This window comes from Homo sapiens, chromosome 8 (genome assembly GCF_000001405.40).
Source record: "Homo sapiens chromosome 8, GRCh38.p14 Primary Assembly".
NCBI classification, from domain to species: Eukaryota; Metazoa; Chordata; class Mammalia; order Primates; family Hominidae; genus Homo; species Homo sapiens.
In genome coordinates, this window is record NC_000008.11 from 53,692,205 (window position 1) to 53,708,560 (window position 16,356).

General features: G+C 41.5%; 3 annotated features.

Annotated features, from left to right (window-relative positions):
* Window positions 320–830: an enhancer, noted in NCBI's record as "H3K27ac-H3K4me1 hESC enhancer chr8:54605084-54605594 (GRCh37/hg19 assembly coordinates)". NCBI's record gives its function as "activates a minimal SCP1, AML or CMV promoter by ChIP-STARR-seq in naive H9 embryonic stem cells {active_cell/tissue: H9 hESC(naive)}" and the evidence as "EXISTENCE:reporter gene assay evidence [ECO:0000049][PMID:30033119]".
* Window positions 831–1,339: an enhancer, noted in NCBI's record as "H3K27ac-H3K4me1 hESC enhancer chr8:54605595-54606103 (GRCh37/hg19 assembly coordinates)". NCBI's record gives its function as "activates a minimal SCP1, AML or CMV promoter by ChIP-STARR-seq in naive H9 embryonic stem cells {active_cell/tissue: H9 hESC(naive)}" and the evidence as "EXISTENCE:reporter gene assay evidence [ECO:0000049][PMID:30033119]".
* Window positions 8,235–8,736: an enhancer, noted in NCBI's record as "H3K4me1 hESC enhancer chr8:54612999-54613500 (GRCh37/hg19 assembly coordinates)". NCBI's record gives its function as "activates a minimal SCP1, AML or CMV promoter by ChIP-STARR-seq in primed H9 embryonic stem cells {active_cell/tissue: H9 hESC(primed)}" and the evidence as "EXISTENCE:reporter gene assay evidence [ECO:0000049][PMID:30033119]".

Below are 16,356 nucleotides of genomic sequence, written 5' to 3' on the forward strand. Positions count from 1 at the left end.
ATACCCAATCATAATCTAACTCCGGTACTGAAGGGGAAATATTGCTATAAGGGATATTAAGTCAAACTAAAAAACTTAGATACGGACAGTAAATCAGATAAAAGTAAATACAGACTTATTTAGTTGATCATTGTACTGTGGTTACGTAAGAGAACAGTTCTATTCTTAGGAAATACACATTGTAATATTTAGGGCTAAAAGGTCACCATTAAATGGTTTAGGAAAAAAAAATTCGTGTGGAGGGAAGGAGAGAGAGAAGAGACAGAATGTGCAAATAATAATTAAGCAAATGGAGTAAAATATTTTTAAAAGGTGAATCTATGTATAAAGGTTCTTTGTACTGTTTTTGTTTTTTGCAAACTTGAAATTATTTCCAAACAATTTTTTAAATTAATTTCATGTTAATTTTTAACACCCCTTTGCATCAGTCAAGCTCTTCACTCTGAATAAACTCAGAATCCCTGGGAAATGTTCTCCATCCTAAAGGAATTAAACGGAACCACAAGTTCCTGTGCAATACACTTGTATAAATAGAACAGTGTGAGGTTACTAAGCAACTCAAGGCACCTTGCACTCACTCTATTTAAAGGCTAAGTCAGGTTTTCCTTTTTAAAACCTATTTAAATAGAAACCCAACTGTTTTGTGCACTTCGACTCTTTTTTCTTATTTCCAAATCCTCCAGAATCCTTCCCGAGGGCTGATTTGCAGATACACATCTCATAAAAACCACCAATATTTACTAAGCGACTACTGCGTGTAGGATCGTGCGAGGCCTGGAAATACGAGGCCTCTCAACAGTCCGGCGTGCACACTCTGTGAGGAGACCTGCTCGGAGGGCCTGCCCGCCCGCCTGGACAGTCAGGCCTGGAGGACAGGGACAGGCGTGCAGACACACACACGCACACACACACACCATCGGAGAGTAAACTTGTGCAAGGCTCAGAGGATCAGCACTCTCCTTCATTTACTAGAAAATCCTGGAAGGGCCTTGGCAGCTCAGGAAGGAGCCCAGCAGAGAGCACCGCAGGGGGGGCCCGGAGAAGCGGCCAAGGACCAGCGCTCCCTGCGCATGCGCCAGGCTCTGAGCTAACTCCTCCTGCCTGGCCGTCACCAGCCCTGTCTTATTGGAACACGTTGTGGGGACCAGGTCTCAAAGCTGATGGGCGGGGGAGCTGGAATTTCAGCTTCTCTCTATCTGACCTCGACAGTCATGGCTTGGTTTTCTCTTATTTTTATTTTAAGAATTACCCTAAATATGTCACCATGAATATTTAACATAAAACTCAAAAGTTAAGCAACATTTATTTCCTCCTTCCAAGCAAAGTGAGGACCTTAGAACACAAAGTCAGAACACAATTCTTGAAAACTGATCTATGATTGTCTGAATTTTTTTTTTTTTTTTTTTGACAGAATCTTGCTTCCTTGCCAAAGCTGGAGTGCAGTGGTGCAATCTCGGCTCACTGCAACCTCCGCCTCCCAGGTTCAAGAGACTTTCATGCCTCAGCCTCCCGAGTAGCTGGGATTACAGGTGCACACCACCATGCCCAGCTAATCTTTGTATTTTCAGTAGAAATGGGGTTTCACCATGTTGGCCAGGCTGGTCTCGAACTCCTGACTTCAAGTGATCCTCCTGCCGCGGCCTCGCAAAGTGTTGGGATTACAGGCATGAGCCACCACACCTGGCCTCCACATAAATTTTTAAATCAGCTTGTCAGTTTCTTTTAAAAAAATGCATTTCTACCGAGATTGTATTGAATCTATGGATTAATTGGGGAGAATTGACATCTTAAACATACTGCATCTTCCAATCCATGATCATGATATAATATCTCTCTTCATTTATTTCATCTTCTTTAATTTCTCTCAGCAATGTTTTATGGTTTTCAATGTACAGGTTTTGCATCTATTTTGTTGAATTTTGTTGAGTATTTCATCTTTTTACACTCTTACATTTCAATTTCTAATTAGCAGAAATAAATGCATTTGATTTGTTTTTGTTTTATTATACTTTAAGTTCTAGGGTACATGTGCACAACGTGAGGTTTGTTACATATGTATACATGTGCCATGTTGGTGTGCTGCACCCGTTAACTTGTCATTTACCTTAGGTATATCTCCTAATGCTATCCCTCCCCCCTCCCCCGACCCCACAAGAGGCCCCAGTGTGTGATGTTCCCCACCCTGTGTCCAAGTGTTCTCATTGTTCAATTCCCACCTATGAGTGAGAACATGCGATGTTTGGTTTTCTGACCTTGCGATAGTTTGCTGAGAATGATGGTTTCCAGCTTCATGCATGTCCCTACAAAGGACATGAACTCATCATTTTTTATGGCTGCATGGTATTCCATGGTGTATATGTGCCACATTTTCTTAATCCAGTCTATCATTGTTGGACATCTGGGTTGGTTCCAAGTCTTTGCTATTGTGAATAGTGCCGCAATAAACATACATGTGCATGTGTCTTTATAGCAGCTTGATTTATAATCCACTGGGTATGTACCCAGTAATGGGATGGCTGGGTCAAACGGTATTTCTAGTTCTAGATCTTGAAGGAATCACCACACTGTCTTCCACAATGGTTGAACTAGTTTACAGTCCCACCAACAGTGTAAAAGTGTTCCTATTTCTCCACATCCTCTCCAGCACCTGTTGTTTCCTGACTTTTTAATGATCGCCATTCTAACTGGTCTGAGATGGTATCTCATTGTGGTTTTGATTTGCATTTCTCTGATGGCCAGTGATGATAAGCATTTTTTCATATGTCTGTTGGCTGCATAAATGTCTTCTTTTCAGAAGTGTCTGTTCATATGCTTGGCCTACTTTTTGATGGGGTTGTTTGACTTTTTCTTGTAAATTTGTTTAAGTTCTTTTTTTTTATTATTTTTTTTTATTTTTTGGTAACTTTAATATATGATTTGACAAATATTCAGAAATTATTAGAAACATCTTTTTTTAAATTTTTTTTTAAATTATACTTTAAGTTTTAGGGTACATGTGCACATTGTGCAGGTTAGTTACATATGTATACATGTGCCATGCTGGTGCGCTGCACCCAGTAACTCGTCATCTAGCATTAGGTATATCTCCCAATGCTATCCCTCCCCCCTCCCCCCACCCCACAGCAGTCCCCAGAGTGTGATGTTCCCCTTCCTGTGTCCATGTGATCTCATTGTTCAATTCCCACCTATCAGTGAGAATATGCAGTGTTTGGTTTTTTGTTCTTGTGATAGTTTACTGAGAATGATGGTTTCCAATTTCATCCATGTCCCTACAAAGGACATGAACTCATCCTTTTTTATGGCTGCATAGTATTCCATGGTGTATATGTGCCACATTTTCTTAATCCAGTCTATCATTGTTGGACATTTGGGTTGGTTCCAAGTCTTTGCTATTGTGAATAGTGCCGCAATAAACATATGTGTGCGTGTGTCTTTATAGCAGCATGATTTATAGTCCTTTGGGTATATACCCAGTAATGGGATGGCTGGGTCAAATGGTATTTCTAGTTCTAGATCCCTGAGGAATCGCCACACTGACCTCCACAATGGTTGAACTAGTTTACAGTCCCACCAACAGTGTAAAAGTGTTCCTATTTCTCCACATCCTCTCCAGCACCTGTTGTTTCCTGACTTTTTAATGATTTCCATTCTAACTGGTGTGAGATGGTATCTCATTGTGGTTTTGATTTGCATTTCTCTGATGGCCAGTGATGATGAGCATTTTTTCATGTGTTTTTTGGCTGCATAAATGTCTTCTTTTAAGAAGTGTTTGTTCATGTCCTTCACCCACTTTTGATGGGGTTGTTTCTTTTTTTCTTGTAAATTTGTTTGAGTTCATTGTAGATTCTGGATATTAGCCCTTTGTCAGATGAGTAGGTTGGGAAAATTTTCTCCCATTTTGTAGGTTGCCTGTTCACTCTGATGGTAGTTTCTTTTGCTGTGCAGAAGCTCTTTAGTTTAATTAGATCCCATTTGTCAGTTTTGGCTTTTGTTGCCATTGCTTTTCGTGTTTTAGTCATGAAGTCCTTGCCCATACCTATGTCCTGAATGGTATTGCCTAGGTTTTCTTCTAGGGTTTTTGTGGTTTTAGGTCTAACATGTAAGTCTTTAATCCATCTTGAATTAATTTTTGTATAAGGTGTAAGGAAGGGATCCAGTTTCAGCTTTCTACATTTGGCTGCCAGTTTTCCCAACAGCATTTATTAAATAGGGAATCCTTTCCCCATTGCTTGTTTTTGTCAGGTTTGTCAAAGATCAGATGGTTGTAGATGTGTGGTGTTATTTCTGAAGGCTCTGTTCTGTTCCATTGGTCTATATCTCTGTTTTGGTACCAGTACCATGCTGTTTTGGTTACTGTAGCCTTGTAGTATAGTTTGAAGTCAGGTAGCATGACGCCTCCAGCTTTGTTCTTCTGGCTTAGGATTGTCTTGACAATGCGGGGTCTGTTTTGGTTCCATATGAACTTTAAAGTACTTTTTTCCAATTCTGTGAAGAAAGTCTTGGTAGCTTGATGGGGATAGCACTGAATCTATAAATTACCTTGGGCAGTATGGCCATTTTCATGATGTTAATTCTTCCTATCCATCAACACAGAATGTTCTTCCATTTGTTTGTGTCCTCTTTTATTTCATTGAGCAGTGGTTTGCAGTTCTTGAAGAGGTCCTTCACATCCGTTGTAAGTTGGATTCCTAGGTATTTTATTCTCTTTGAAGTAATTGTGAATAGGAGTTCACTCATGATTTGGCTTTCTTTTTGTCTGTTATTGGTGTATAAGAATGCTTGTGATTTTTGCACATTGATTTTGTATCCTGAGACTTTGCTGAAGTTGCTTATCAGCTTAAGGAGATTTTGGGCTGAGAAGATGGGGTTTTCTAAATATACAGTCATGTCATCTGCAAACAGGGACAATTTGACTTCCTCTTTTCCTAATTGAATACCCTTTATTTCTTTCTCCTGCCTGATTGCCCTGGCCAGAACTTCCAACACTATGTTGAATAGGAGTGGTGAGAGAGGGCATCCCTGACTTGTGCCAGTTTTCAGAGGGAATGCTTCCAGTTTTTGCCCATTCAGTGTGATATTGGCTGTGGGTTTGTCATAAATAGTTCTTATTATTTTGAGATATGTCCCATCAATACCTAGTTGATTGAGAATTTTTAGCATGAAGGACTGTTGAATTTTGTCAAAGGCCTTTTCTGCATCTATTGAGATAATCATGTGGTTTTTGTCTTTGGTTCTGTTTATATGCTGGATTACGTTTATTGATTTGCATATGTTGAACCAGCCTTGCATCCCAGGGATGAAGCCCACTTGATCATGGTGGATAAGCTTTTTGATGTGCTGCTGGATTCGGTTTGCCAGAATTTTATTGAGGATTTTTGCATCGATGTTCATCAGGGATATTGGTCTAAAATTCTCTTATTTTGTTGTGTCTCTGCCAGGCTTTGGTATCAGGATGATGCTGGCCTCATCAAATGAGTTAGGGAGGATTCCCTCTTTTTCTATTGATTGGAATAATTTCAGAAGGAATGGTACCAGCTCCTCTTTGTACCTCTGGTAGAATTCAGCTGTGAATCTGTCTGGTCCTAGACTTTTTTGGTTGGTAGGATATTAATCATTGCCTCAATTTCAGAGCCTGTTATTGGTCTATTCAGAGATTCAACTTCTTCCTGGTTTAGTCTTGGGAGGGTGTATGTGTCCCGGAATTTATCCATGTCTTCTAGATTTTCTAGTTTATTTGCATAGAGGTGTTTATAGTATTCTCTGATGGTAGTTTGTATTTCTGTGAGATCAGTGGTGATACCCCTTTATCATTTTTTATTGCATCTATTTGATTCTTCTCTCTTTTCTTCTTTATTAGTCTTGCTAGCAGTCTATCAATTTTGTTGATCTTTTCGAAAAACCAGCTCCTGGATTCACTGATTTTTTGAAGGGTTTTTTGTGTCTCTATTTCCTTCAGTTCTGCTCTGATCTTAGTTATTTCTTCCCTTCTGTTAGCTTTTGAATGTGTTTGCTCTTGCTTCTCTAGTTCTTTCAATTGTGATGTTAGGGTGTCAATTTTAGATCTTTCCTGCTTTCTCTTGTGGGCATTTAGTGCTATAAATTTCCCTCTACACACTGCTTTGAATGTGTCCCAGAGATTCTGGTATGTTGTGTCTTTTTTCTCGTTGGTTTCAAAGAACATCTTTATTTCTGCCTTCATTTCTTTATGTATGCAGTAATCATTCAGGAGCAGGTTGTTCAGTTTCCATGTAGTTGAGTGGTTTTGAGTGAGTTTCTTTATCCTGAGTTCTAGTTTGATTGCATTGTGGTCTGAGAGACAGTTTGTTATAATTTCTGTTCTTTTACATTTGCTAAGGAGTGCTTTACTTCCAACTATGTGGTCAATTTTGGAATAAGTGCGATGTGGTGCTGAGAATAATGTATATTCTGTTGATTTTGGGTGGAGAGTTCTGTAGATGTCTATTAGGTCCGCTTGGTGCAGAACTGAGTTCAATTCCTGCATATCCTTTTTAACTTTCTGTCTCGTGGATCTGTCTAATGTTGACAGTGGGGTGTTAAAGTCTCCCATTATTATTGTGTGGGAGTCTAATTCTCTTAGTAAGTCTCTAAGGACTTGCTTTATGAATCTGGGTGCTCCTGTACTGGGTGCATATATATTTAGGATAGTTAGCTCTTCCTGTTGAATTGATCCCTTTACCATTATGTAATGGCCTTCTTTGTCTCTTTTGATCTTTGTTGGTTTAAAGTCTGTTTTATCAGAGACTAGGATTGCAACTCCTGCCTTTTTTTGTTTTCCATTTGCTTGGTAGATCTTCCTCCATCCCTTTATTTTGAGCCTATGTGTGTCTCTGCATGGGAGATGGGTCTCCTGAATACAGCACACTGATGGGTCTTGACTCTTTATCCAATTTGCCAGTCTGTGTCTTTTAATTGGAGCATTTAGCCATTTACATTGAAGGTTAATATTGTTATATGTGAATTTGATCCTGTCATTATGATGTTAGCTGGTTATTTTGCTCGTTAGTTGATGCAGTTTCTTCCTAGCAGTGATGGTCTTTACAGTTTGGCATGTTTTTGCAGTGGCTGGTACCGCTTGTTCCTTTCCATGTTTAGTGCTTCCTTCAGGAGCTCTTGTAGGGCAGGCCTGGTGGTGACAAAATCTCTCAGCATTTGCTTGTCTGTAAAGGATTTTATTTCTCCTTCACTTCTGAAGCTTAGTTTGGCTGGATATGAAATTCTGGGTTGAAAATTCTTTTCTTTAAGAATGTTGAATATTGGCCCCCACTCTCTTCTGGCTTGTAGAGTTTCTGCCAAGAGATCCACTGTTAGTCTGATGGGCTTCCCTTTGAGGGTAACCCGACCTTTCTCTCTGGCTGCCCTTAACATTTTTTCCTTCATTTCAACTTTGGTGAATCTGACAATTATGTGTCTTGGAGTTGCTCTTCCTGAGGAGTATCTTTGTGGCATTCTCTGTATTTCCTGAATTTGAATGTTGGCCTGCCTTGCTAGGTTGGGGAAGGTCTCCTGGATAATATCCTGCAGAGTGTTTTCCAACTTGGTTCCATTCTCCCCGTCACTTTCAGGTACACCAGTCAGATGTAGATTTGGTCTTTTCACATATTACCATATTTCTTGGAGGCTTTGTTCATTTCTTTTTACTCTTTTTTCTCTAATCTTCTCTTCTCCCTTCATTTCATTCATTTGATCTTCATTCACTGATACCCTTCCTTCCAGTTGATCGAATCGGCTACTGAAGCTTGTGCATTTGTCACGTTGTTCTCGTGCCGTGGTTTTCAGCTCCATCAGGTCATTTAAGGACTTCTCTACTCTGGTTATTCTACTTAGCCATTTGTCTAATCTTTTCCCAAGGTTTTTAGCTTCTTTGCAATGGGTTTGAACTTCTTCCTTTAGCTCAGAGAAGATTGGTCATCTGAAGCCTTCTTCTCTCAACTCTTCAAAGTCATTCTCCGTCCAGCTTTGTTCCATTGCTGGTGAGGAGCTGCATTCCTTTGGAGGGGGAGAGTTGCTCGGATTTTTAGAATTTTCAGCTTTTCTGCTCTGTTTTTTCCCCATCTTTGTGTTTTTATCTACCTTTGGTCTTTGATGATGGTGATATACAGATGGGGTTTTGGTGTGGATGTCCTTTCTGTTTGTTAGTTTTCCTTCTAACAGTCATGACCCTCAGCTGCAGGTGTGTTGGAGTTTGCTGGAGGTCTACTCCAGACCCTGTTTGCCTGGGTATCAGCAGCAGAGGCTGCAAAATAGCGAATATTGTTGAACAGCAAATGTTCCTGCCTGATCGTTCCTCTGGAAGTTTCATCTCACAGGGGTACCCAGCCGTGTGAGGTGTCAGTCTGCCCCTACTGGGGGGTGCCTCCCATTTAGGCTACTTGGGAATCAGGGACCCACTCGAAGAGGCAGTCTGTCAATTCTCAGATCTCAAACTCCATGCTGGGAGAACCACTACTCTCTTCAAAGCTGTCAGACAGGGACATTTAAGTCTGCAGAAGTTTCTGCACCTTTTGTTCAGCTATGCCCTGCCCCCAGAGGTGGAGTCTAAAGAGGCAGGCAGGCCTCCTTGGGCTGCGGTGAGCTCCACTCAGTTCGAGCTTCCTGGCCGCTTTGTTTACCTGCTCAAGCCTCAGCAATAGCGGGTGCCCCTCCCCCAGCCTTGCTGCTGCCTTGCAGTTCCATCTCAGAATGCTGTGCTAGCAATGAGCGAGGCTCCATGGGCGTGGGATCCTCCGATGCCTCGCCCTGCTTCACGCTGGGTGCACCTCACCCACTGTCCTGCACCCACTGTCCGACAAGCCCCAGTGAGATAAACCCAGTACCTGTTGGAAATGCAGAAATCACCCATCTTCTGCGTCGCTCATACTGGGAGCTGTAGACTGGAGCTGTTCCTATTTGGCCATCTTGGAACCGCCCCAAGGGTTTTTATAATGAGTTTTATCAAATGCTTTTTCAGCATCAACTGAAATGATCATATAGTTTTTGTCCTTCATTCTGTTAGTACAATGTATCACACTGATTGATTTGTGTATGTTGAACCATTCCTGCATTTCTGGGATAAATCCCACTTGGTCATGATGAATGAACTTATTAATGTGTTGTTGATTCAGTTTGCTGGGATTTTTTTGAGGACTTTTATATCAATTTTCATTAGGGATATTGGCTTGTAATTCCATTTTTTTGTTTTGCTTTTTTGTTTGTTTTTTGTCATTGTTTTTGTTTTTTGATGTGTCTTTGTCTGGTTTTGTTATCAGGGTAATACTGGCCTCCGAGAGTGAGTTTAGAAATATTCTCTCCTCCTCTGTTTTTTGGAATAGTTTGCAGAAAATTGGTATTAGTTCTTCTTTAAATGTTTGGTAAAATTTGGCAATGAAGCCATCAGGTCCCAGGCCTTTCTTTGCTGAGAGACTTTTTATTATGGCTCCAATCTCATTACTTGTTATTGGTCTGTTCAAGTTTTAAATTTCTTCTTGATTCAGTCTTGAAGATTGTATGTGTCTAGGAGTTTATCCATTTTTCCAGGTTTTCCAATGTATTGGCATATAGTTGCTCATAGTAGTCTCTGATGATCCTTTGAATTTCTGTGGCATCCATTGTAATGTCTCATTTTTCATGTCTGATTTCATTTGGGTATTCTCTCTTTTTTTCTTGGTCTGGCTAAAGGTTTGTCCATTTTATCTTTTCAAAAAAACAACTTTTCATTTTATTCATCTTTTGGGTTTATTTCATTTCAATTTCATTTATTTCTATTCTCGTCTTTACTATTTCTTTTTTTCCACTAATTTTGGGTTTAATTTGCTCTTGCTTTTCTAATTCTTTAAGAGGTATTGTTACGTTGTTTATTTGAAGTTTTTCTGCTTTTTGATGTAGGCACTTATTGCTATAAACTTTCCTCTTATTACTGCTTTTGCTGTATCCCACAGGGTTTGGTATGTTGCGTTTCCATTTTCCTTTGTTTTAAGAAATTTTTAAATTTCCTTCTTAATTTCTTTATTGACCCTTTGGTCATTCAGGAGCATACTGTTTGTGGAGTTTCCCAAGTTTCTTTTTCTCTTTTCCTTTTTTTTTTTTTTTTTTTTTTTGGACAGAGTCTCACTCTATCACCCAGGCTGGAGTGCAGTGGCATGATCTCAGCTAACTGCAACCTCTGCCTCCCAGGCTCAAGCAATTCTTCTACCTCAGCCTCCCGAGTAGATGGGATTTCAGGTGCCCATGATCACACCTGGCTAATTTTTGTATTTTTAGTAGAGACAGGGTTTCACCACATTGGCCAGGCTGGTCTCAAACTCCTGACCTCAAGTGATCCAACCACCTTGGCCTCCCAAACTGCTGGGATTACAGGTGTGAGCCACTGCACCTGGCCTTTTTTTATGATTTCTACTTTTATCCCATTGAGGTCAGAGAAGATACTTGATATGAACTTCAGTTTCTCTGAATGTCTTAAGACTTGTTTTGTGGCCTGACATGTGGTCTGTCATTGAGAATGGTCCATATGCTCAGGAGAAGAATGTGTATTCTGCAGTTATTGGATGAAATGTTCTGTAAATATCTATTAGGTCCATCTGGTCTATAGTGCAGAATAAGAAACAGCATCTGATGTTTTTTCATCTGCACTATAGACCAAATGGACCTAATATTGCATATTAAGAAGCTGATGCTTCTTTGTCAAATTTCTGTATTTGCAATCTGTCTAATGCTGAAAGTGGGGTGTTGAAGTCTCCAGATATTATTGTACCAGGGTCTATCTCTCTCTTTATCTCTAATAATATTTGCCTCCATCTGGTGTCCCCTCTTTCCCCATGCTGTGCTCACAGTGGTGCGAAATGAGCATTCTAGAATGGAATCCAGGCCAGTGATGGGGGGATTGTCCTTGAGGAAGCCACTGGAGTCACACCTGCCAAGGACAGTATGTGTCCTCTTTGCAGAAAAGAATGTTAAGAGCCTAGTCCAGTGAAACATTTAACATTGATGGGTTATATTCCTCTAGCCTGAAATGTACCACTGAGTTGCTTCCCAGAAACCTGGGAACCGATTTTCCTCATTTAAGTGCATTTTGTAAAAGACTTCAAAAGTTCAGACTAGCATTTTAAAAAACAAAGCCTCCAGCCTGGAGACACGCAGCCCCCGCCCAGCAGGGGCATTCAAGGAGCACCCTTCTTGGGGCCGCCTGTTTGTGACAGGCTTAGGAAAAGCAGGCAGGGCCTATGGAATCTGCTTCTAGGGCACCAACATCAGCTTCTGACTGTGCTCACAAAGGGACTCAGTCTTCCAAGGCCCAGGGCAGGTGCAGTCATCTTCAGGGTGAGCTGATATGCTGGACCCATGCCCATTGCAGGGCTCTCCTTCCAGAGCACCTTCCTCCTGGACACCCACACATCACTCTCCTAACCCCTGGCTCCCCAACAAGCCACCCCGACAGAGAAACAGAGGAGGTACTTTAGGGGAGCCCAACAGAGCCAAACAGGCAGACTCACACTGAAAATCCCATGGGATTTCTTGCCCGAGATGAATACAGCATGTACTGAATGATAATAAGCATCTCTACAGAATAGCGATTTCATCTGACTTGCTGCCAACATAGGCTTGCTGGAGAAGGGCTGGAGAGCACAATGGCATTCCCTTTAAGTAGGGATTGTTTTGGTGCTTTTCTTACACTGGCAATGGTGTACATCCCAATCCAGGCCTCATGCAGAACCCTGACAGAGGCTCCGGTTCCTTCCAGTCCTCCAAGGTCTCTGGGAGGTTGCCCTCTGCGCCACCCCAGAGTCAGAGGGGCTTCTGGATCCAGCTCTGCTGCCTTGGGATTCTTTGCCGGTGGAACCCTGCTACGTTCAGACACCTCTGCTCCTCCACCTGCTTCAGAGGAAGGTGGTGCTTGACCAGATCCTGACTGATATGGTTTGAATGTGTGTCCCCCTCAAATCTCACGTTGAAATGTGATCCCCAGTGTTAGAGGTGGGCCCGGTGGAAGGTGTCTGGGTCGGGGGGACGATGGGTCCCTCAGGAATGGGATGGTGCTGTCCTCTTGGTAATAAGTGAGTTCTTGCTCTATTAGTTACCACGAGGGCTGATTGTTAAAAGGAGTCTGACACCTCCTCTTCTCTCTCTTGCCATGTGACACACCTGGTCCCTGTTTGCCTTCCACCAAGAGTAAAAGCTTCCTGAGGCCTCACCAAAAGCCAAGATGATGCTGGTGCCTGCAGAATTTGCCTGTACAGACTGCAGAACTCAGAGTCAAACAAAACTCTTCTCTTTATAAATTACCCAGCCTCAGATATTACTTGATGGTAACACAAAACAGACTAACCCACCAACTGTAAAAGTGTGCAAGGCCTTCCTATTTAACCTCACTGCCCTGCCATTGACTGTGCACTGCTTTCCACCCATGAGAAGCAAGTGGTTTCCTGTAGGGACCTGTAGATAAAAGACATGGAGAGAGGCTGAAATCTGGTGTCTGGGCCAGAGGGGAGTTGGCTGCAGCACGCAGTCACAGGGCTGTGGGCCCAACTGAGAGTCCAGAGACTGACATACCTGGGCTTCTTGTAGGGGACTCAGGTATTGTCTTTAAGTTATTTTCAGTCAAGTTTCCTACTGCTTGCAACCAAAAGTATCTTAAAGGATACACTTTTGTAAGACTTAGAGGACTAGACCTCATCACTCAACACTAAATACTCTGCAGGCCAAAGCTGTTATAACAAACCCCAAATTCCGATTCTGTTTACTATAGCCTTACCAATAATGAATTGTACAATAAAAAGTGAGATGAATCATAGAATTGAAGTTCTAACCTGAATATTTGGGTTCCCTTCATCTATTTATATGTTCATGGTCTGGTATTTTAATCAACTACTTGGATAAGGACATAAAAGTTATAGTTATTAAGTACAATGCAGATTGGCCAGGTGCAGTGATTCACGCCTGTAACCCCAGTGCTTTGGGAGGCTGTGGAAGGAGGATAGCTTGAGGCCAGGAGTTTGAGACTAGCCTGGGCAATACAGCAAGACCCTATTTCTACAACAAAATTTTTAAAAATTAGCCAGGCATGGTGGTACACACCTGTCATCCTAGCTACTCAGAAAGCTGAGGCAGGAGGATTGCATGAGCCCAGGAGTTTGAAACTGTGGTGAGCTATGATTGTGCCACTGCACTCCAGCCTTGGCAGCAGAGCAAGACCATGTCTCAAAAGAGTAAAACATAAAATAAAATAAATGGGCAAGTGGCCAAAGCTGAGAGGCATTGACAATAAACTAATCATAGATTAAGGATTTGAAAATATGAACAGAATTTATTTGTATATTATAATAATAATTTTCCATGAGCAAATATAATTTATTCAACAATTGTAAAGGTATCTTAGTATTAGGAAACTCATAGATTAATTTGGAGGTCACCTTAGGAGATTACATCGATAAGTCAAATATGAACGTCTACAGAATTATTTCAATAGATGCCACAAGGGCATGGAGATAATTCAACATCTATCACTGATGGGGAGAAAACTCAACTCAAAGTAGACCAGGAGCAGCTGTATCTCTCCTTCACATAAATATCTCAGACCGACAGTTGTATCTTGCATAAGAGTGAAACACCACGGGCATCACCTTTAAAATTAAGCGCCACAAAAGATGCCCCACTAAGCAGCAATGTCCTGTGAATTCAGACCAATACGATAACTAATAAGGAACATTTTAAGTGCTTGTTATTTATGTACAGAGTGTTCCTTAACCTTCACAACTCTATGACATAGGTACTGTCATTTTTCTATTTTACAGTCAATGAAGCTGAAGTCTAAACAAATCTGATAATATCGAATTCACAGTATGAGGCAGAGCTTACTGAGCCTAGATCTCTCTGTTACTAACATAAAACAGAAGTGAATTGCATTCCTATTGGAAAGGAAATGAAACTGTCATTACTTATAGAATATGTAATTGTATACCCAGAAAAAAAAAGACTAAAAACTGTTAAAGTTAATAATAATATGGAAAAATGACTAGATACAGGATAACTATTTATATATAATTATAAATAATGTTCCTATATGCTAGCAATAGTGGTTAGAAAATATATTGAAAACTCCTTTCACAACGACAAAAAAATTAAAATACAAGTAGAAATCACTTTAACAAGAATTCATGGAATTTATATGCTGAAACTCCAATAACTTCAGACACATTGACTAAATGAAGACACATTCAATTTTTTTGGATGGGAAAAGTTGGTACTATAAAAATCTTCCCAAATTAATGTACAGATTAAAATAAATCGCATCAAAATCTCAATGGAATCTTTTAAGACCTGAAAAAATAATTCAAATCTCATCTAGAAAAAGGAACCGACAAAAAATAAAAATTCTAAAAAGTGTTAAGGGGAAAAAAGTTATCAGAGATGGGCCTACCAGATCTTACAAGTTATCATAAAACATCAGCAATAAAGCCAGCATGGGCCCAAGGGGAGGCACACGGGAGCTCTTCTTACTCTTCTTGCTACTTTTCTGCATGTGTGAAATTACATCAAAATAAGGAATGACATTGTATCAAAGTCAATATGGGTGCCCACAGCACCTGAGTCTATTACACCAGGGGTCCCCACCCCCGCCTCCACCACGGACCGTGGCCTGTTAGGAACCAGGTTGCACCGCAGGAGGTGAGCAGTGAGTGAGCAAAGCTTCATCTGTATTTACAAGCACTTCCCATTGCTCACATTACTGCCTGAGCCTCACCTCCTCTCAGCTCAGTGGCAGCATTAGATTCTCACAGGAGCGCAAACCCTATTGTGAACTGTATGTGAGGGATGCAGGTTGCATGCTCCTTATGAGAATCTAATGCCTGATGATCTGTCACTATCTCCCATCACCCCCAGATGAGACCATCTAGTTTCAGGAAAACAAGCTCAGGGCTCCCACTGATTCTACATTATGGTGAGTTGTGTAATTATTTCATTATGTATTATGAGGTAAAAACAATGGAAATAAAGTGTACAATAAATGTAATGTGCTTGAATCGTCCCAAACCATCCCCCTCCTGGCCAGTTCATGGAAAAATTGTCTTCCACAAAACCAGTCCCTGGTGCCAAAAAGGTTGGGGACCGCTGTATTACAGCACAGAGACTTATATCTCTGAATAGATCCCAACTGCAAGTCCCTGGAAGAGGGTCCACTGAGGCCCGGTCACCTCTGGGCAGGGTGGCAGGCTCTGGGAGGCCAGGGTTTCTGTCTCAGGTGGGGAGAGCTCCTGGAGAGAGGGACCTGGAAGTCAGTTCAACCAGGCAAGGCTGACTGGACACTCACTGGGATAAAGCACTGTATTCAGGAGTTAGGTCAGAAAGTCCACCTTTTAATCAGCCTAAGAAGACTGGAGACCAACAAGTTCATCTTCACAATCACTGAAATGTCTCTGAAGCACTGAGGTCTCAGTAGCAATAAAACAGAACTATGATAAGATGATGCAGGGGAAGGATGAGTGAATGGACAGATGGACGGGCAGATGGGCCTGTAGAAAGAAGGGTGGATTGACAAGGGAATAAACCTACCTGGATGGCCAGGAAGGATTTGGAACTCTTTCTACTCTGACCTTGCATACTTCACTCTCCTTCATAACTGGCCTGACCCTTCCATTTACAAATACCAAAAATGTTTTTCCCAGACAAGCTTGTCTCTTCTTTCATCATGCAAGCTTCACTGCAGCACCTTCTCCTCTGCCAGTGGGAATTAACTCCATACAAAATGCACTCTGTGTGCATCTTTCAGCAGGCCACCCGAGACGACAGTCAGCATCTCCTGTTTGCTGCCTGTGGGTCAGGCCCTGCCTGTGGGTCATGCCCTGTTTGATACCTGTGGGTCAGGATCCAGCCAGCAGTGCTGGCACGGAGGGTCACAGAGCAACCTGGGTGACAGCGCCACACAAAGCCCAGCCAAGCCCACTCCTTCAAGGGCAATGAAGGGCATGGCTGCCCCCCAGAGGGCTGGCCCTCAGAGGGTCAAGTCCAGCACACACAGACGTTGTGTTGTATGATCGTTTTGCAGCAACCAGCCAACTCAAAACCTCACTTGTGTGATCGTTTCTCCAAACACTTCAGGAGGCGGGTCACAGCCACATGGTCTGATTGACATCACATGACACACATTTGCCTCACCTCCTTATGCCAAAATAAGGCATATTCAGTTTTATCTCCACTAATGGCTCTTTAGCTTTACCTTGTAATTGCAGTTTATTGTTTCATGGTTGCTGTAGATAATTAAATATGCAACCTTAACCTAAAATGTGACCTAAAATATTTAGCATTGAAATAGAAATATTTTACATGACAAAAATTAACAATTATGGTTTTAGAATAAACATTTTT